The sequence below is a fragment of the Homo sapiens genome, chromosome 2, assembly GCF_000001405.40.
Source record: "Homo sapiens chromosome 2, GRCh38.p14 Primary Assembly".
Classification (NCBI taxonomy): Eukaryota; Metazoa; Chordata; class Mammalia; order Primates; family Hominidae; genus Homo; species Homo sapiens.
This window is the reverse complement of record NC_000002.12, coordinates 134953187-134974338: the sequence shown is the minus strand read 5'-3', so window position 1 is coordinate 134974338 and position 21152 is coordinate 134953187. Positions and strand designations below refer to the sequence as shown.

Sequence of the window (21152 nt, the reverse complement as noted above, 5' to 3'; positions counted from 1 at the left end):
AGGCCAGGAGAGAATGAGATAATATATTAAAAGTTTTAGGCCAGGCATAGTGGCTCGCACCTGTAATCCCAGCACTTTGGAAGGCTGAAGTGGGTGGATCACCTAAAGTCGGGAGTTTGAGACCAGCCTGACCAACATGGAGAAAATCCATCTCTACTAAAAATACAAAATTGCCCAGGTGTGGTGGTACATGCCTGTAATCCCAGCTACTCTGGAGGCTGAGACAGGAGAATTGCTTGAACCTGGGAGGTGGAGGGTGCAGTGAGCCGAGATTGTGCCTTTGCACTCTAGCCTGGGCAACAACAGCAAAACTCCATCTCAAAAAAACAAACAAACAAAAAAAAAAGTTTTGAAAGGCATAAAAACAAAACAAAACTGTCAGCCAAGAATGCTATACTCAGCAAAGTTATCCTTCAAAAATGGAGAAAGTCTTTCACAGACATGCAAAAACTGAGAGACTTCATCACCATTAGTGGCCCTACAAGAAATGCTTAAGAAAGTCCTACACCTGGAAGTGAAAGGTCATATCTATCATCATGAAAACATATGAAAGTGTAAAACTCACAGGTAGAGGAAACCACACAAAAGAGGTAGAGAAAGGACTCAAACGTTAACACTACAGAAAACCACCAAACCACAATGATAAATAACAAGAGAGAAAGAAAGAAAGAAACAAACAAACAAACAAACAAACCAACCAGAAAACAATCAACAAAATGACAGGAATAAGAACATAAATGGATTAAAATTTCCAATTAAAATGGCTGAATAGATTTTTAAAAAGTGACCCAAAAATATACTGCTTTCAAGAAACTCACTTTACCTGTAAAGACACATATAGACTGAAAGTGAAAGGATGGAAAAAGATAGTTCATGCAAATAGAAACCAATAGAGAGCATGAGTAGCTATATTCATATCAGATAAAACACACTTTATGTCAAAAACAGTAAAAAGAGACAAAGTCACTATATAATGATAAAGAGAAAAATTCAGCCAGAGGATGTAACAGTTCTGATGCACCCTGCACCAGAGCACCCAGGTATATGAAGCAAATATTATTAGATCTGAAGAGAGAGATAAACTCTAATACAATCATAGATGGGGACTTTAACACCCCACTCTCAACATTAAGCAGATCATCTAAACAAAACATCAATAGAGAAACCTGGATTTAAATTGCACTTTAAACCAAACAGACACAACAGATACCTACAGAATATTTTCTCCAACAATGGCAGAATAAATGTTCCCATTAAAACATGGAACATTTTCCAGGATAGGCCATACATTAGGCTGCAAAACAAGTTTCAACAAATTTTTAAAAATCAAAATCATACCAAGTATTCTTTCAGCCACAATGGAATAAAACTAGAAATCAATAACAAGAGGAACTTTGGAAACTGTATAAATACATGGAAACTAAACAACATGTTCCTGAATGGCTACTGGGGCAAGAAAGAAATTAAGAAGAAAATTAAAAAATTTCTCAAAACAAATGAAAATCAAAACACAACATACCCAAATCTATGTGACATAGTAAAAGCAGTGCTAAGAGGGAGGTTTATAGCAATAAAAGCCTACATCAAAAATGTATGAAGATTGGCTGGGCATGGTGGCTTACACCTGTAATCCCAACACTGTGGGAGGCCAAGGTGGGAGGATCACTTGAAGCCAAGAGTTCAAGACCAGCCTGGGTAGCAATGTGAGACCTTGTCTCAAAAAGAAAAAAAAAAAATTAGCTAGCTAGGTCACTTGGTAGGCTAGGGTGGGAGGATTGCTTGAACCCAAGAGTTCGAGACTGCAGTAAGCCATGATTGCACCATTGCATTCCAGATGGGGTGACCTTTTAAAAAAGTATAAAAATTTAAATAAATAATCAAGGAAACAGAAGAAAAAGGGAACAAACCAAACCCCAAATTAGTAGAAAAAAAGAAATAAAGATCAGATTATGTTAAGTGAAATAAACCAGGATCAGAAAGACAAACATTGCATGTCCTCACTTATTTGTGGGATCTAAAAATAAAAACAATTAAATTCATTAACATAGAGAGTAGAAGGATGGTTACCAGAGGCTGGGAATGATAGTAGGAGGATAGGAGTAGGGCAGATAGGGATGGTTAATGGATTAAAAAAAAAATAGAAAGCTTGAATAAGACCTACCATTTGATAGAACATCAGGGAGACAATAGTCATTAATAACTTAATTGTACATTTTAAAATAATTAAAAGAGTGTAATTAGATTGTTTGTAACACAAAGGATAAATGCTTGAGAGGATGGATACCCCATTCTCCATGATGTAATTATTTGACATTGCATGCCTGTATCAAAACATCTCATGTACCCCATAAATATATACACCATGTACCTACAAAAATTAAAAATAAAAAAATATAAAAATCAATAGAAAAGTAATAAAGGTCAGAGTAGCATTAAATGAAATACAGAAAAAAATACAAAGGATCAGTGAAATGAGAAGTTGGTTAAAAAAAAAATAAAATCAATAAACTGCTAGCTAGACTAACCAAGAAAAAAAAGAGAGATGACTGAAATAAAAATCAGAAACAAAAAAGGAGACATAACAACTAATACCACAGAAATGAAAAAACCCACCAGAGAACATTATGAACAAATATAAGCTAACAAAATGGAAAACCTAGAGGAAATGGATAAATTCCTGGACACATACAAGACTGAGTCAGGAAGAAATAGAGAACCTGAACAGACCAATAATGAGCAATAAGATTGAATCAGTAATAAAATATCTCCTAACAAAGAAAAGCCCAGGACTGGATGGCTTCACTGCCATATTCTACCAAACTCATAAAGAAGAACTAACACCAGTTATCCTCCAACTATTCCAAAAAATTGAGAAGGAAGGAATTCTCCCTAACTCATTCAATGAAGCCAGCATTACCCTGATACCAAAACCAGACAAGGATGCGAAAACCACAAAAAAAGAAAACTATAGGCCAGTATCCTTGATGAACACAGATACAAAATTCCTGAACAAAATACTAGCAAACCTAACCCAACAGCACATCAAAAAGATAATACACCATAATCAAGTGAGTTTTATACTAGTGATGCAAGGATGGTTTAACATGCACAAATCAATAAACATGATACATCACATTAACAGAATGAAGGACAAAAACAATATGACCATCTCAATAGAAACAGAAAAGACATTTTCTAAAATCCAACATCCCTTTGTGATAAAAACTATCAACAAACTAGGCATAGAAAGAACATACCTCAATATAATAGGCCATATATGACAAACCCACAGCTAACATCATACAGAATGGGGAAAAGGTGAAAGCCTTTCTTCTTAGAACTGGAACAAGAGAAGGATGCCAACTTTCACCGCTCCTATTCAACATAGTATTGGAAGTTCTAGCCAGAGTGATTAGGCAAGAGAAAGAATAAAAGGCATTCAGGCTGGGCGCAGTGGCTCATGCCTGTAATCCCAGCACTTTGTGGGGCTAAGGCAGGCAGATCATGAGGTCAGAAAATCGAGACCATCCTGGCTAACACAGTGAAACCCCATCTCTACTAAAAATACAAAAAATTAGCCAGGTGTGGTGGCGGGCACCTGTAGTCCCAGCTACTCAGGAGGCTGAGGCAGGAGAATGGCATGAACCCGGGAGGTGGAGCTTGCAGTGAGCTGAGATCGCACCACTGCACTCCAGCCTGGGCGACAGAGTGAGACTCCATCTAAAAAAAAAAAAAAAAAAAAAGGCATTCAAACTGGAAAAGAGAAAGCCAAACAGTGCCTCTTTGCAGATGACGTGATCTTATATCTAGAAAAACCTAAAGACTCCACCAAAAAACTCTTAGATCGATTCAGTAAAGATTCAGTAAAGTTGCAGGATACAAAATTAACATACGAAAATTTGTTGTGTTTCTATATACCAACAATGAAGTAGCTGAAAAAGAAATCAAGAAGGCAATCCCATTTAAAATGGCTACAAAAATAAAATAAAATACCTGGGAACAAATGTAACCAAGGAGGTGAAAGACCTCTACAAGGAAAACTACAAAACATTGATGAAAAAAATTGAAGACACAAACAAATGCTCATGGGTCACAAGAATCAATATTGTTAAAGTGGTCATACTAACCAAAGTTATTTATGGATTCAATGCAAAAATACCAATGTAATTTTTCACAGAAATATATACAAAACAATCCTAAAATTTGTGTGGAACCAAAAAGGAGCTCAAAGAGCCAAAGCAATACTAAACAAAAAGAACAAAGCTGGAGGCATCACACTATGTCACTTCAAAATATACAGAAAATATATACAAAATATATTACAAGGCTACAGTAACCAAACAGCATGGTATTGGTGTAAAAATAGACACATAAACCAATAGAACAGAGTAGAGAACCCAGAAATAAGTCCCCATATGTAAACCAACTTATTTTTGACAAAGGGACCAAGAACATATACTGGGGAATTGACACCCTCTTCAATATATGGTGCATATTCATATGCAGATGAACGAAGTTAGACCCCTATCTCACCATATACAAAAATCAACTCAAAATTGATTAAATACCTAAACATAAGACTCAAAACTATAAAATTACTAGAAGAAAACATAGGGAAACACTCCAGGTTATTGGTCTGTGCAGAAGCTCTTTAATATATAGTTCCATTTGTCTATTTTTGGTTTTGTCACCTGTGCTTTTAAGGTAAAGGAAAGCACAGTGTGAAGAGACGACCTGTTGAATGGGAGAAAATATTTGCAAAATGTTCATCCAACAAGAAACATATCTCAAAAGAAGACACAAATAGCCCACAGGTATATGAAGAAATGCTCAACATCACTAATCAACAAGGAAATGCAAATTAAAACCACCAAGAGATACCTACCATCTTATCCCAGTTAAAATGACTACTATTAAAAACACACAAAAGCTCTCCCTCTCCCTTTCCCTCTCCCTCTCGTCTCCCTCTCCCCACGGTCTCCCTCTCCCTCTCTTTCCACGGTCTCCCTCTGATGCCGAGCTGAAGCTGGACTGTACTGCTGCCATCTCGGCTCACTGCAACCTCCCTGCCTGATTCTCCTGCCTCAGCCTGCCGAGTGCCTGCGATTACAGGCACGCGCCGCCACACCTGACTGGTTTTCGTATTTTTTTTTGGTGGAGACGGGGTTTCGCTGTGTTGGCTGGGCCGGTCTCCAGCTCCTAACCGCGAGTGATCCGCCAGCCTCAGCCTCCCAAGGTGCCGGGATTGCAGACGGAGTCTCGTTCACTCAGTGCTCAATGGTGCCCAGGCTGGAGTGCAGCGGCGTGATCCCGGTTCGCTACAACCTCCACCTCCCAGCAGCCTGCCTTGGCCTCCCAAAATGCCCAGATTGCAGCCTCTGCCCGGCCGCCACCCCTTCTGGGAAGTGAGGAGCGTCTCTGCCTGGCCGCCCATCGTCTGGGATGTGAGGAGCCCCTCTGCCTGGCTGCCCAGTCTGGAAAGTGAGGAGCGTCTCTGCCCAGCCGCCATCCCATCTAGGAAGTGAGGAGCGCCTCTTCCCAGCCGCCATCACATCTAGGAGGTGAGGAGCGTCTCTGCCCGGCCGCCCATCGTCTGAGATGTGGGGACCGCCTCTGCCCTGCCGCCCCATCTGGGATGTAAGGAGCGCCTCTGCCCGGCCGCGACCCCGTCTGGGAGGTGAGGAGCGTCTCTGCCCGGCCGCCCCGTCTGAGAAGTGAGGAGACCCTCTGCCTGGCAACCGCCCCGTCTGAGAAGTGAGGAGCCCCTCCGCCCGGCAGCCACCCCGTCTGGGAAGTGAGGAGCGTCTCCGCCCGGCAGCCACCCCGTCCGGGAGGGAGGTGGGGGGTCAGCCCCCCGCCCGGCCAGCCACCCCATCCGGGAGGTGAGGGGCGCCTCTGCCCGGCCGCCCCTACTGGGATGTGAGGAGCCCCTCTGCCCGGCCACCACCCCGTCTGGGAGGTGTACCCAACAGCTCATTGAGAACGGGCCATGATGACAATGGCGGTTTTGTGGAATAGAAACGGGGGAAAGGTGGGGAAAAGACTGAGAAATCGGATGGTTGCCGTGTCTGTGTAGAAAGAAGTATACATGGGAGACTTTTCATTTTGTTCTGTACTAAGAAAAATTCTTCTGCCTTGGGATGCTGTTGATCTGTGACCTTACCCCCAACCCTGTGCTCTCTGAAACATGTGCTGTGTCCACTCAGGGTTAAATGGATTAGGGGCGGTGCAAGATGTGCTTTGTTGAACAGATGCTTGAAGGCAGCATGCTCGTTGGGAGTCATCACCATTCCCTAATCTCAAGTACCCAGGGACACAAACACTGCGGAAGGCCGCAGGGTCCTCTGCCTAGGAAAACCAGAGACCTTTGTTCACTTGTTTATCTGCTGACCTTCCCTCCACTATTGTCCTATGACCCTGCCAAATCCCCCTCTGCGAGAAACACCCAAGAATGATCAATAAAAAATAAAAAAAAAAAAAAGAAAGAAAGAAGACACAGAGACAAAGTATGGAGAAACAACAGTGGGCCTAGGGGACCGGCGCTCAGCATACCAAGGATCTGAACAGGCACAGGCCCCTGAGTTCCCTCAGTTTTTATTGATTATTATTTTTATTATTTTAGCAAAAAGGAATGTAGTAGGAGGGCAAGGTGATAATAAGGAGAAAGTCAGCAACGAACATGTGAGCAATACAATCTAAGTCATAAGGAAGTTCAAGGGAAGGTACTATGACTGGACGTGTCTCTAAGCAAGATTTATGTTTCTCTCCACCCAAACATCTCAGTGGAGTAAAGAATAACAAGGCAGCATTGCTGCAAACATGTCTCACCTCCCACCATAGGGCGGTTTTTCTCCCATCTCAGAACTGAACAAATGTACAATCAGGTTTTATACCGATACATTCAGTTCCCACGGGCAGGCAGGATGCAGCGGCCTTCCTCTCTCTCAACTGCAAGAGGATTTCCTCTTTGACTAATCCACCTCAGCCAGACCCTTTACTGGTGTCGGGCTCGGGGACGCTCAGGTCTTTCTCATCCCATGAGGCCACTTTTCAGACTATCACATGGGGAGAAACTTTGGACAATACGGCGCTTTCAAGGGCAGAGCTCCCTGAGGCTTTCCACAGTGTATGTTGCCCCTGATTTATTGAGACTGGGGAGTGGCGATGACTTTTACCAAGTATACTGCTTGGAAACATCTTGTTAGCAAGGCGCATCCTGCACAGCCCTAGATCCCTTAAACCTTGATTTCATACAACACATGCTTTTGTGAGCTTCAGGTTGGGTCAAAGTGGTTTGTTCAAAGTGACTGGGGCAAAGCTACAGATTAACAACATCTCAGCAAAGAAATTGTTGAAAGTACAGGCCTTTTTCAAAATGGAGTCTCTTATGTCTTTCCTTTCTACATAGACACAGTAAGAGTCTGATTGCTCTTTCTTTAGCCTACACTCACTGAACTGCCCTTCCCCTCCGCTGGGCCATGACCATGGAGAACAGGTCCACTGTCCTCCCTGCGTGGTGCACCATGGAGGCTCAGACTCCGTCCTCGAGGCTGGCAAGAAGACAGGGTAAGACATGAGCCTCCTGATACAGGAGATGTCTGTGGAGCCCACAGGACTGCAACCTCACACTGCAGGGCTGGAGGCACAGACTGACTATTTACTATTCTGTGGCCTGGGGGGCTCAAGGCACAGAGCTCCTCATTAGCCAAAGTCACCCAAGTTCCCAACCTCTAAGGATTTCCTCATAATAATGCAAGAAGAAGAAAAGTGAGTGCCCGTAGAAGCTTTGGGGCTCTTCCTCTAATCAGGAGAAAGCTGGTGTGTATTCTTCACTTCTTTCTTTTCTTTTTAAACATCCAACTGCTTTAATTTTCATCTTTTATTATGGGAAAATATATCACTTATAAATATTAAAAAAAACCCACAAAAATAACAGATGCTGGCAAGAATGTGTAGATAAGGAAACTCACGTACTGTTGGGTGTGAATGTAAATTAATACAGCCATTATGGAAAACAGTATGGAGATTTCTCAAAAAAACCCCAAAAAACTAAAAATAGAACTACCTGCCGTGTGATCCAGCAATCCTCCTACTGAGTATTTATCCAAAGGAAAGAAAATCATTATCTCTAAGGGATACCTGCATCCTCATGCTTATTGCAGCACTATTCACAATAACAAAGGTATGGATCCACCTAAGTGTCCCTCAACAGATGAATAGATAAAGAAAACTTAGTATATATGCACAACAGAATGCTACTCAGCCATAAAAAAAATGAAGTCTTATCATTTTCAGCAACAGAGATGGATCTGGAGTTCTTTATCTTAAGTAAAATAAGCCAGGCCCAGCAAGACAAATACCACGTTCTCTCTTATGTGGGAGCTACGAAAGTAGATCTCATGGAAGTAGAGAGTAGAATGATAGTTATCAGAGGCTGGGAAGGGTGTGTATGTGGTGGGGCAGGGAGGATAAAAAGAGGTTGGTTAATGGGTACATAATTAGATAGAAGGAGTAAGTTCTAATGTTTGATAACAGAGCAGGGTGACTGTAATTAACAACAATGTATTCTGTATTTCAAATAGCTAGAAGAGAGGACTTGAAGTGTTCCTGACACATAGAAATGACAAATACTCATTATATATCAATAAAGAAAGTGGTTGCACAATGTAGCGGGTAGGGGAAGTTACCTGGTTGTTAAAGCCTTAATAAATATTTATGTATCTGAAAAAAAAATCAAAAGATGGCCAATTTAACCAAAAGAATGCCTCTGGAATAGGCCATTGCAGCTAATCATTGACTATTTCATTAGCTCATTGGTTCATTAACTGGCTCATTGACTGATACCTTTCTAAAATCTTTTGAATTTCTTGAAGAAAAAAACTATGCCACAATAGTACTGAACAACTGTCTCCCTCTATCTTACGTTAATCCAGGAGTGCCCAAAACGGGATTATTTCAATTAATCACCAAAGCATATTTGAATATCTATTTTAAAAGGTTTTCAATTCTGGATTTTAATGCTTCTGAATTTTAAAAGTAAATGTAAGTGTGAATTTTACCATACGTAAATTAGACTCCAAACAAATTGCACAAAAGTACAATGGGAAAGTAGGGCCTAGTTTTCAATCACAATAGCTACCACTTTTCAAACAAGTACCATGCTATTGTTTAAAAGTTGTATATATATTATTTAATTCTCCCAATGAGTTAGGTATTATTGTTATCTCCATCTTACTGATGAAGAGAGTTTTAGTCACTTAGCTTAAGGTCACACAGCTAAAAATTGGAGACTGGACTCAACCCAAGTCTGTTTGACTATCAGAAGTTGTATTTCCGTCTTTAAAAGTTCACATTTAAGTAGATCTACATTGGCAGTCTCATTACTGAGTGCTGCTGCTTCTAATGTGTTTTTCCCTTCTTAGGGACCAGCATGAGCGACCTTCTGCTCTCCAGCTCCTGAAGCACTCCTTCTTGGAGAGAAGTCACTGAATATACATCAAGACTTTCTTCCCAGTTCCACTGCAGATGCTCCCTTGCTTAATTGTGGGGAATGATGGCTAAGGGATCTTTGTTTCCCCACTGAAAATTCAGTCTAACCCAGTTTAAGCAGATCCTATGGAGTCATTAACTGAAAGTTGCAGTTACATATTAGCCTCCTCAAGTGTCAGACATTATTACTCATAGTATCAGAAAACATGTTCTTAATAACAACAAAAAACTATTTCAGTGTTTACAGTTTTGATTGTCCAGGAACTACATTCTCTATTGTTTTATATGACATTTCTTTTTATTTTTGGCCTGTCCTGTCAATTTTAATGTTGTTAGTTTAAAATAAATTGTAAAAACAACTTATATTTTCTTGCTTGGTGAGTAAAGATGCTTACTTAATTCGTCCAAAGCAGAGCAGAGGAAGGCAGGAAGGTAAGTTAAAGAGATTCTAGATTCTGTACTTTGGCAGCAATCTTAGCCTAAAAGATTCTAGGAGGCTCAAGGCCTAATAGGGAGGAGGTGAGGGCCTCGGCATTTCATTATCAGAGGGCCCCCAAACTCCTCAGATGTCTCTGAGAAATTGTGCTAGTTAAGGCGGCATCATAAACCTTGGGCTCTTTTCTCTGTAATTTATTTGTAGTGATTTGAAGTTTTTAATCTATTTGCAGTGAATCAGGTCATTTCCATATGCAGAACTAGCTAAGTCTAAATCAGCTGGTAGGACAAAAGCTAGGTCTGGTAAGGGAAGGATGATTTTTCCACAGACCTTTGCTCATTTCATTTGAATAGTTACCTCTGCTGAGGTCATCCTTCAAATACTGCCATTCCCAGAACATTAGTAGACCTCACAAAAGTGAGCATGGATGAGTTAGTAGTATTACAAGCCATTTTAAGTTGGTGGATTAAGCAATATTTTTTTTAGACTGAGTCTTACTCTACTGCCCAGGCTGGAGTGCAGTTGCGTTATCTTGGCTCACTGCAACAACCTCCGCCTGCTGGGTTCAAGTGATTCTTTTGCCTCAGCCTCCCAAGTAGCTGGGATTACAGTTGCCCACCACCACGCCCAGCTAATTTTTGTATTTTTTGTGGAAATGGGGTTTCACCATGTTGGCCGAGATGGAGTTTCACTGTGTTGGCCAGGCTGTCTTGAACTCCAGACCTCAAGTGATCCACCTGCCTTGGCCTCCCAAAGTGCTGGGATTACAGGCGTGAGCCATCGTGCCCAGCCAGGATTAAGCATTTTTTATAAGGTTTCCATTGCTGTTGATCTCACTCATCCACTAAACTTCGCACCTATTGTTCTTTTTTTTTATTATTATTATTTGAGATGGAGTCTCACTCTGTTGCCCAGGCTGGAGTGCAGTGGCGTGATCTTGGCTCACCGCAACCTCTGCCACCTGGGTTCAAGCAATTTTCCTGTCTCAGCCTGCCAAGTAGCTGAGATTACTGGGACCTGCCACTGTGCCTGGCTAATTTGTGTAGTTTTAGTAGAGATGGGGTTTCACCATCTTGGCCAGGCTGGTCTTGAACTCCTGACCTCATGATCCACCCGCCTTGGCCTCCCAAAGTGTTGGGATTACAGGCGTGAGCCATCGCGCCCAGCCAGCACCTATTGCTCTAAGCTATAGCCACAGATATTTTTATTGGCTGCCGTCATTTCAAGCTGGTACAACTAAAAATTAACTTTAGGAGTATTCTAATACTGGTATCAGGATTTGTCAAAACAAAGCTGGTTTAGTTTTTATGAAATAAATGTGAAATGCTGTCCAGGTGAGGTAAAAACAGATTTTACTCTGGACATGTAACATTAGATGAGTCTTTGTGGGTATAACTTTTCTCAAATTTTTTTTTCATATTTAAGAAATTAAGGGAAGAATATGTCCTTTATTTTACTTACTTGTATCTCAACATGACCAGAAACAACATAATTTTGAAAGGTTAGGGCTTATTCCTTTTCCATTTTGGAGGGATCTTCAGCATTCTTTCAAATCTGAATATTATATTGGATTTTAAAGCAACTATTTACAATCAAGCCTGTTAAACCCTATGGGGAAAGGGCAAAGAGTAAGACCTGTTAATACTGTGTATAGAGATCACCGTAATGGACACAAGAAGTTGGTGTTAACAAGTTTATTCCTATTCTACTGAAATATAAGGGTACTGAAGACAATTTTGGAATATTGAACAGAAACTTCAAAAAGCTGAAGTTTTGGCCAGGCAGGGTGGCTCACCCCTGTAATCCCAGCACTTTGGGAGGCCGAGGCAGGTGGATCACTTGAGGTCAGGAGTTGGGAGACCAGCCTGGCCAACATGCTGAAACCCCATCTCTACTAAAAATACAAAAAATTAGCTGGGCATGGTGGCGTGTGCCTGTAATCCCAATTACTTGGGAGGCTGAGGCAGGAGAATCGCTTGAACCTGGAAGGAAGAGGTTGCAGTGAGCCGAGATCACACTACTGCACTCCAGCCTGGGCAACAAAAGCGAAACTCCATCTCAAAAAAAAAAAAAAAAAAAAAGCTGAAGTTTTCAATAGGCAAGCCTTGGTCCTCAAAGCTTCTGTGTTTTTGTTATTCACTGTGTTTAAGACATGAACAATTGTTTGGAATTACACTCTTCATTATCACTGCCCATATGTGTGCTCTCTTCCTTTTGAAGAGGGTCTGAAAGGAGGTTGGGAGTGGAGGTAGGTTGGGGCTGGGATGGCTAGCATTCACTGAGCTTTTAGCAGAAAAAGGCACATCATTTCATTCTAGCTGCTGATTGGGATGGTAGTATCGTCCTCCCTTTATTATTTTGAGTACTTTAATGGTGTGAAAAGCTTTTCATTGTTCACCTAGCAGTAATACCGTCCTCCCTTCCATGAGCATCACCCTTTTCCCAAGGCACAACCGCTGAGTTTTCAATCACATTGAAAACTCATCTTATTATGTACTAAATTCCTGTATGCTCTGGGCCCAAGCTCAACCAAAGACATTTTAACCCCCAAGTTCTAAAAAGTAGATCTACAGCATCTCCTTAACTTTAACCTACTTTAGTCGTACACTGTGTAATGAGTAGCTCCAAGATAATAACCCACTTAATCTGCTCAAGGAGCAGCCAAAAGCTGCATACCATCACCTACCAGGCCGTCTTTCTTCTTCATACGAGCTGCACTTACAAGTATTAATTCAGTTTAAAGCAGCTATTTAAATGCAGAAACTTGCATTTTAAAAATCTTTCCAGGTGATTCTGCCAATTAAAAAATCTCTGGTGTAAGCAGCCTCTCTCTCTACTGGTAATAAAGTTTAAAAAAAAGTTTGTATATGCCATTACACTGTCAAGTTTATAGAGGATAGTGCTTTCTCCTATTGACAGGACATCACGACATTATGAAAATCCATGGCTGAATTCATCCATAAAGCAGTCACTAACAGGCTGACGTGAAAGACTATAGAAAACTGGCCTCCTCAACTGTGTCTGAACATTTGAAAGGTCTAAGTAAGCCTCTTAATTTCATGGCAATATAATAAAAATATTTTGTCAGTGAGGCCCTACATTGTTTTGGGAGGTGGTATTGAGGGGAAGGAATAGGCAGGCCATATGCTACAGCTAAAATAAAAACATACAATTTATTATATTGAAAAGTGCAGGGGGCAGGGGTGAAGGAATAAACAATGGACTTAGATGAGTTTGGTTAGATGGAATTACTCACTTTGTAAAGTTAAAACCCATCCAATTTATTATGTTAATAGAACAAGCCCTTACTGGTGTCAGCACCAGTGAGACAAATCTCTTAACTGTGATACAAAAAATATTTATGTTACATTTAGGCTGAAAATGTTTTATTTTTAATTAAAAAAAAATTTTTTTTTTTTTGAGATGGAGTCTTGCTCTGTCGCCTAGGCTGGAGTGCAGTGGCGCTATCTCGGCTCACTGCAACCTCTGCCTCCCAGGCTCAAGCGATTCTCTCCTGCCTCAGCCTCCTGAGTAGCTGGGACTACAGGCGCGCACCACAACGCCCAGCTAATTTTTTTGTATTTTTTAGTAGAGACAGGGTTTCGCCATGTTGGTCAGGCTGTTCTCGAACTCCTCACCTCAGGTGACCCGCCCACCTTGGCCTCAAACTCCCAAAGTGCTGGGATTACAGGCATAAGCCACCGTACCCGGCCTGAAAATCTATTTTAAAAGAAGCGACTTTTCTATCCTAATTCTACTTTATCAAAGTTATTGCAATTAGCTTTCATTTTCTTTCAAGTGGAAGGTGCAGGGAAATTGCTGGTAAGGAGAGGGAAGCTGGCGAGCAGCCTTATTAAAGAACAGCTTATGCTTAAATATTTTTGAAGGGGCCGGGCATGGTGGCTCACACCTGTAATCCTAGCACTTTTGCAGGCCAAGGTGGGCGGATTGCTTGAGCCTAGGAGTTTGAAACCACCCTGGGCAACGTATCAAAACCCCGTTCTACCAAACACAAGAACAACAACAAAACAAAACAAAACAAAACAAACAAAAAAACCACAAAAAAACCCCCCAAAATTAGCCGGGCATGGTGGCACATGCCTGTAGTCCCAGCTACTCAGGAGGCTGAGGTTGGATGATCGCTTGAGCCTGGGAGGCGGAGGCTATAGTAAGCCAAAAATCACACCACTGTACTGTACTCTAGCTTGGCTGACAGTGAGAACTTGTCTCAAAAAATAAAAAATTTTAAATGGGTACTGCAACTATTCTTTGTGCTTTTTATGGGAGTGATGCAAGAGGTTAGACAAGAAAATCTTAAAACAGAAATTAGAATGAACAACTTAAGAGAATTCTGGACACAGCGGGCATGCAGTATTTAATATGTTCCAGTTACACACCTGGATTGGCCTTCATCATTCCAATATCCCACATCTACCCCTCAATTAGGATTCTCTTTAATGCTATTCTATCTAGCCTTCCTTGACCATCCAAGCCTTACACAACTCTATGATGAACAGGTACTACTACTAACACTTTGTAGGGAAGAAAAAGCATGAGATCAAGTAATTCACCCAATGCCATTCTGTTATTAAATGGTAGGGCTGAGACTAGAGCATGGACCATTTGATCCCAGAGCCTGCACTCCTGAATGATACATGAAATTACTTGGATAAAGGGTCAATTATACTAGAGATCTCACATTTTCCAGGGACTGAAAGTTACTTCTGTTTTTGTTGTTGTTAAGGAATCTTGCTCTGTCGCCCAGGCTGGAGTGCAGTGGTGCGATCTCGGGCTCTCTGCAACCTCTGCCTCCTGGGTTCAAGCGATTCTCTTGCCTCAGCCTCCCGAGTAGCTGGGATTACAGGCATGCACCACCACACCCGGCTAATTTTTGTATTTTTAGTAGAGACAGGGTTTCACCATGTTGACCAGGGTTGTGTTGAACTCCTGACCTCAGGTTATCCGCCTGCCTTGGCCTCCCAAAGTGCTGGGATTACAGGCATGAGCCACTGCGCCCCACCTCAAAGTTACTTCTGATTCACATTAACTTAAGACATGTTAGAGCCTTGGATTTATGTTGTCAATAAACATTTTATTAGTTCCTTGTATGGATAAGAAGCTTAAAGTCAATGACTAATTCATGCCATATACACATATTCCTGTTTTAGATTTTCTATTAGCAAACATCCTGTTCAATTGTTGTTGGGAGTTTTGAGTACATTCAGAAAATGAAACCCCACAATCACTGTTTACAACAAATGAGTATGTATTTTTCCTAATAAAATGAAGCTGCTTGAAAAAAACATACCTTAAAATTAAGAATGTACTCATCACTTAATAAGAATGTACTCATTATTAAACAATAGGCAAATCAAACAAACTACTAAAGTGGCAATGCTCGGGATTTTGAGTTTCCGCCCCAAACTTGAAAATAAAGTAGACAGCCCTCAAACTTTGAGATAAATGGATTCCACAGTGAAGTTAAGTTGCCTATACGAGAACAGAATTACTCCTAGCCATTCAATCTTCGATGGATCTTATCAACCTACTTAATCAATCTGTCAGGCAGAATAGGTAACAGTAAATTATAAAGAAGGTGCCACAGAGGTAAAAACTGGCTGTGCCCAAATTGACACTGCAGAGCAGAAAATTAATGTATGATATTAGGTCTAAAACATTTTGAGCTTTTCAGTCCCACTGGCAAAATGTATTACAAAAATAGATGCTCCAGGGAAACTAACAAAAGCAACCTTTTGATTTCGGCTTCCATGTATGTCAGCTTACAGCAATTAGGTTGCTCACTGATTTCTGATATTAACGTATCAGAATGTGATTCTCAAATTAGTATCATAGCTTGGTACCCAAGGTCAGAGAATGTGCTGCTTTTCCAATGCAAAAATCCCTATCTAAATAAGTCCATCTTAGGGCACATGAGATTAGCACCTATTGTCCTGTCAACTCATTTAGTTTAAGTGTGAGATTTGTTGATCCCTCATCTGGGTAAAGGTAGTCAGTGAATCCTACTGTCTCCCTTCAAGACAGCCTCTGAGGCAGTAATCAGGTTAGAAATACTGAATCCATGATTCTTCCTAACAAGAGCCTCCAAATATTCTCAGCAAAGACATCCTAAATTTAAGCAGATATGCTTTTCATTTGGATAAAATTGGAAATGGTGTAATACCTTGAGAGAATGGTTTTCCTAAGACGTTACCATGTTAAAAAAGTCCCCATGTCTATAGAAAATGCAAAACCCTGAAATATCTAATCAACTAACTGTACTCATGAAATGCATAATATTCATGCAGATATAAGCAGTGGTTTATTTCTAAGGTTGCTTAACGAATACAAGTCAGCAATTTAAGTTCTCAAATAGAAAAGAAAATGTGCTTGAAACCTTTTAAGGCAATGGTATTTTGTACTAACAAAAACATTTCATATTGGTTCTCTGAAATAGCCCTCAAGTAGTCATTTCTAGTTCAAAGAGGATAGGCCAAAAAAATTAGGTATTCTATTAATTATTAATACAATCTGTTGCTACAAAGCAATATACGCAGCCACTCATGACATTCAAGAAACCATACATCATGTTAGAAATTTCTTTTAGATGACTCTGAATAAGAACTTTAACCAGAAGGAATCTGAACACACGGAGGAAGACCAAGGTGCACATTTAACTGCTTTCAAAGATAAACCTAGGGCTGACAACAGGACTTTTTTGGTATTTACATACCTGCAATTAGGAAACTGTGAGGTTTTACCACTACCGGATACTGCCGCCCGTTAAGTAGGCCTCTAAGAATGTTTCAGTGAACAAACCACCCTTTGCTTTGGTTCTGAAAATACCTATTTTGAAATAGCTAAGGCAAATATTCAGAGGGACACAGCTCAATATTGGAAAACTGAATGGAAGAGGTAGAAATAAAGCCTTTCTTTGCAATGTGCTTCTGTGTAAAGGTAACAAATCAGTGATCTAGGGAAAACACAACTTAAAAATGACTCACTCTTTTATAGGATGTTTAAAGATAATGCTTTTTAATATTTCAAATATTTTTTTAAATCTCATCAAAAATGTTATCACCTTAACAGTACTTTGCACATGTGGAATTTCATACCTAAATTTGATACTATTTTGGTTTATTTATGGCTACTTACAAGAGTCACAGTAATAATGTCCACTCATCAGAGTCTTTCTTTGGTAGAGCCTAATGGGACCAGACAGATGAACTGTTATGCAAATGAGATGGATAAAGCAAATTCATGATAGTATGAATTATAAGGGTTTTTGTTTAATGGAAATACAACTTAAAAAGGATTTCCATATTTATCCCCATCATTATTTTGGAAGCTTAATACCCTGTTCAGGGGTTGAAGAGTTTGAATAGCTCACACAATCCTGTAAAAATGACAACTGGCTGCCCTTTAATAAATAAAGTCATTGTAAAGAATTACATTTACAGAGTGAAAAGTGAATACATAGCATTTCAAATTCAATTTTGGAAGTACTAATAAGTACTGACCCATAACAATATACACTAGCTATCTTTTTAACTGTCCATCATTAGCACCAATGAAGATTCAATAAAATTACCTTTATTCACACATCTCAAAACAATTCTGCAAATTCTTAGTGAAGTTTAACTATAGTCACAGACCTTAAATATTCACATTGTTTTCTATGTCTACTGAAAATAAGTTCACTACTTTTCTGGATATTCTTTACAAAATCTTATTAAAATTCCTGGTATTATCACCCCCAATTATACAGTAGCACAACCACCTTATGTAGTTTTTACATGATAGCTCTGTAGAGGTTTCACATCTAAATTACCAAGAAAGCCCTTCCCTCCCTCATCTTGCACTCAGCTTAATTCTATACTAGTCCTTGGATTATGTACCACTGTAAAAGTATAACTGTATCAAAATTACCATGTTTATGGATACAATATTATGCCATACAGAGCAACAAAGTTACATATAATGACAAAGATTACTGAAGTTATGCAAGACCAGAACAAATGTTAGGACATGCTACCTAGGCACAGTCCCTACAAAGAGGCTCCTAAGTACCCCAAGTTCAAATAACATTGACAAAATAATGAACAATTATCTTTAAAAATTATAAAGCTACTGGCAAATTAGGTAATTGCTAAATAAAGGTAGAGCATGAGATTAAACTCTAATATTTACAACTGCAACATACTTAATTACAATTGTGCACGTATCAGTGGCTTTGTAACAAAAATACAGAGAAAAAATTAAGTTTTCAGTTCAACAAGAGGTCGAATCCAATCAATCTCAAATATACTCAACAACTCAAAAGATTTACCACAGAATAAATTCAAGATTAGCTGATAAACAAGAGCCATATTACTGGTGTTTAAGACAAAATCTAAACAAGTTAAAATCTAATGCTTGATCAGAAGTCAGATGACTGTGCAAACTTTACCTCAACAGAAATATACTGAGATGTGCAAACAAATGTAAAACCTCCACTACTGGTTTGCCTGGGAGGCTGACCTTTTCTTTCTTACAGAGCTTCCTGATAACCATAAACTATAAATACAGGTACAATGCACAGTCAGTAATCTTTTCTTTTTTATTTATTGTTAGAATATAAAAGAATTGAGAGCATAGGTTTAATTTCATTTTTATAAGGAAGACTACATTTACCTGAAAAAGAAATATGGCATCACACACAAACACGCTTCAGGGAAGGAGTATATTTAAGAATATGGTGTCATTCTGAATGCTAAAGGAAAAGTGATCCCTGTTTACTATTAAAATATGTAGTGTAAAATTCTTTAAAGGAAACAACTCACTAAATCTCTACTAGGTAAGTTATTGTGAATTTAGTTTTCAAATCACAGTAATCCACATAACCATTATTAACAGCTCTGTTTCATAGAACTGCAACAAGCCAACAAACATTTAAATGCACTTCACATCAAGAGTATGTAAACTTTATTTTTTCCTCTTCAAGCCTTCAGAAAGTTAGGGGCTATTTCAGCAGCCAATCTGGTCAGAACCTCTGAAGGCAAAATTTCAGTGCCTCACAGTGTATATGACCATCTGTTGCACTGCACACATCTGGTAGTGAAGTGTCCCCTATCAGTGGCTTCCAGTAAGGCCTAGAGTTTAAGGTTAACATAAAAAAGTGCCACCTTTGTTTTAGATTAGTGATGGACTCTGACAAGATAAAATAAAGTTATTCTGTATATTGTTATACTTACAAGCAGCTCCAATCCTGAGTATTTACGGTAATATCTAAACATACAAAAATGTATGTACATTTTTCTCCACTTTCTTGTAAACAGTTGTCAGTATACTGTTTTATCCCTTTATCATTGAAACATGCAAATCATACATACAAGTATAAATACACAAAAGAAAACAATTTACACTCATTCAAAAGCCAAGCAACAAAAAATAGCTACAGTATTCAAATCATAAATAATGAATGCTTGAGGCATCTTATATTCCTAGAAGCAGCCAGCCATTCATCCTAATGTTCTTAGCTGCAATTGTAGAAATACTGAGTTTTGCACCTTCCATGCTTTTACAGTATTTATAACACTATCATATGTGGAGATAAAGACTTGTTTACTATAATCTCTTCTTTTCAGAATGAAGAATAAAGCAGCACTTACAAATATTGAAGCAGTGGCAGCAACAGCAGGGGTTACCACTGCTAGATCAGAAGGAATTTTTCCATTCTAACAATTTTTAAATTAAAAAAGTAAAGGAAAAATTGACCTAAACAAATTATTACATGTTCATTCCTTGGGCACTTAACAGTGAGTCCAGCATGTCGAATGTGTCTTTGTAGTCCATATGCTGGCTGCTTGTACTGTACTCGTGATTGGCATCAGGACCGTTGGTCTCCACTGGCTTCTTGTCCAGTTTCACGAGGGTGCTGAGATGTCCGTAGCCCACCTGGTATGTGACAGGGGGAGGAGGGGGTAAGGGATGGTTAAAAACAGAGTTGTGAGAGGATATATACTGCTTAACAGAGGAGGAAGAACTAGATGAACTACCTGAACTTTTGGAACTTTTGCTCATTTTGGAGTGGTGGTTGTGAGATGCATCATTGACATGCAGCCTCTTCCTTGAAGAGCTGGAGCTAGAGGAAATGCCATCACTGCTCAGGCCAACAGGACTCCTCAGAACAGTGGGTGGTATTCCGTCGGCACTGTGTTTACTGCCACCGCTGCTGCTGCCACTATGCGAGTGGGAATGCTTGTGGCTGCTGGTGTGGTGGCGGCTTGAAGGATGCTCCTTGTGCTTCTCCTTATGGTCTCTGCTAATATGTGGGCTTGAATGTTTGCTCTTCCCACTGCCTTCATCAGAAGAGCTGTGTCTTTCTGAAGAAGAAACTTTTATTTTCATTTTCAGTTCTTCTTTACTGGCGCTTTTATCAGTGGGTGGTATTGGAATCCGTAATTTCAGTGACCCACTCTTTTCCTTTTTGTCTGCCATGTATTTTTCAGTATTTGCGATAGGTATTTTCATTTTAATGGGAGAAGTAACAGAACTGCTGCTGGCTGCCTGTGACTGCCCTTGTTTGTGCTGCTGTTCTACCTGGGCAGCTATATAATGATCCCTTACATCGAGATCAAGAGTTTCTAGTTTACGCTTTTCTCTATATTTATCTAAAGACATTTTCTGAGGAATTATTCCTGGAGTAGTGGAAATTGGCCCATGGTGTTTACTGCTCCCTGCTTTATGAGTATATTCTTGCTTAACAGAAGAATGATCTGAAATTTTGTCAGGTCTGTGATGTAATCCTGAATGCAGTGATATAGAAGGTCCCTGCTGGAAGTTGATGTTGTACTGGCTACCAGACAAAGATGTCTCCTGTTTCTGTGAATATAGCTGTTCTGTCCTTGCTGAGTCTTGATGTTGAGGCCATTCCTGGTGTGATGATAAACCGTATGAAGTACTTGGCATTCCTGTTGCTAGCATTGACAAATTATCAGATGTATGGCTGTCTTGAACAGAAATATTTCCTGAATTTAGAGGTACTGGCGCAGGGAATGCTGATGTAGATGGTTTCTGAAAACTTGGGTTTGTAGGCACACCAGTGACACTATCTACTAAAATGGAATTCTGGACCAAAGATGAACCAAGAAGTGGTGTCTCTGATACCTGTCCATCTACTTTTGGTTTCCTAGCTGCCTGATTAGCCTATTAAAATAAAACACAGAAGAAGCAGTGATATAGCAAAATA

The 21152-nt window shown here is 39.9% G+C and overlaps 2 protein-coding genes across 22 annotated transcripts in view, besides 1 other annotated feature; one reads left to right on the top strand and one right to left on the bottom strand.

Moving 5' to 3' along the window:
- The window catches only part of MAP3K19 (mitogen-activated protein kinase kinase kinase 19), an 82957-nt gene extending 73109 nt beyond the window's left edge, over window positions 1–9848 (top strand). For all 12 annotated transcript variants that reach the window (XM_017005005.3, XM_017005004.3, NM_025052.5 and 9 more), the window contains one exon: window positions 9423–9848. In XM_017005005.3, coding sequence (XP_016860494.1) covers window positions 9423–9489 — 67 coding nt within the window. In that variant the 3' untranslated portion in view covers window positions 9490–9848. The remainder of the gene's footprint in view (window positions 1–9422) is intronic.
- Window positions 464–513: a silencer, noted in NCBI's record as "silent region_11980". NCBI's record gives its function as "represses an Ori minimal core promoter by ATAC-STARR-seq in GM12878 lymphoblastoid cells {active_cell/tissue: GM12878}" and the evidence as "EXISTENCE:reporter gene assay evidence [ECO:0000049][PMID:35858748]".
- The window catches only part of CCNT2 (cyclin T2), a 40521-nt gene continuing 34365 nt past the window's right edge, over window positions 14997–21152 (bottom strand). For 7 of the 10 annotated variants that reach the window (NR_135468.2, NM_001320748.2, NM_001320749.2 and 4 more), the window contains one exon: window positions 14997–21109. Coding sequence is in view for 8 of the 10 variants with exons in the window: in NM_001320748.2 (NP_001307677.1) it covers window positions 19691–21109 (1419 nt within the window). In the remaining 2 variants the exon portion in view is untranslated. The remainder of the gene's footprint in view (window positions 21110–21152) is intronic. The other 3 variants (NR_037649.2, NM_001241.4, XM_017005228.3) reach the window with 1 other exon arrangement.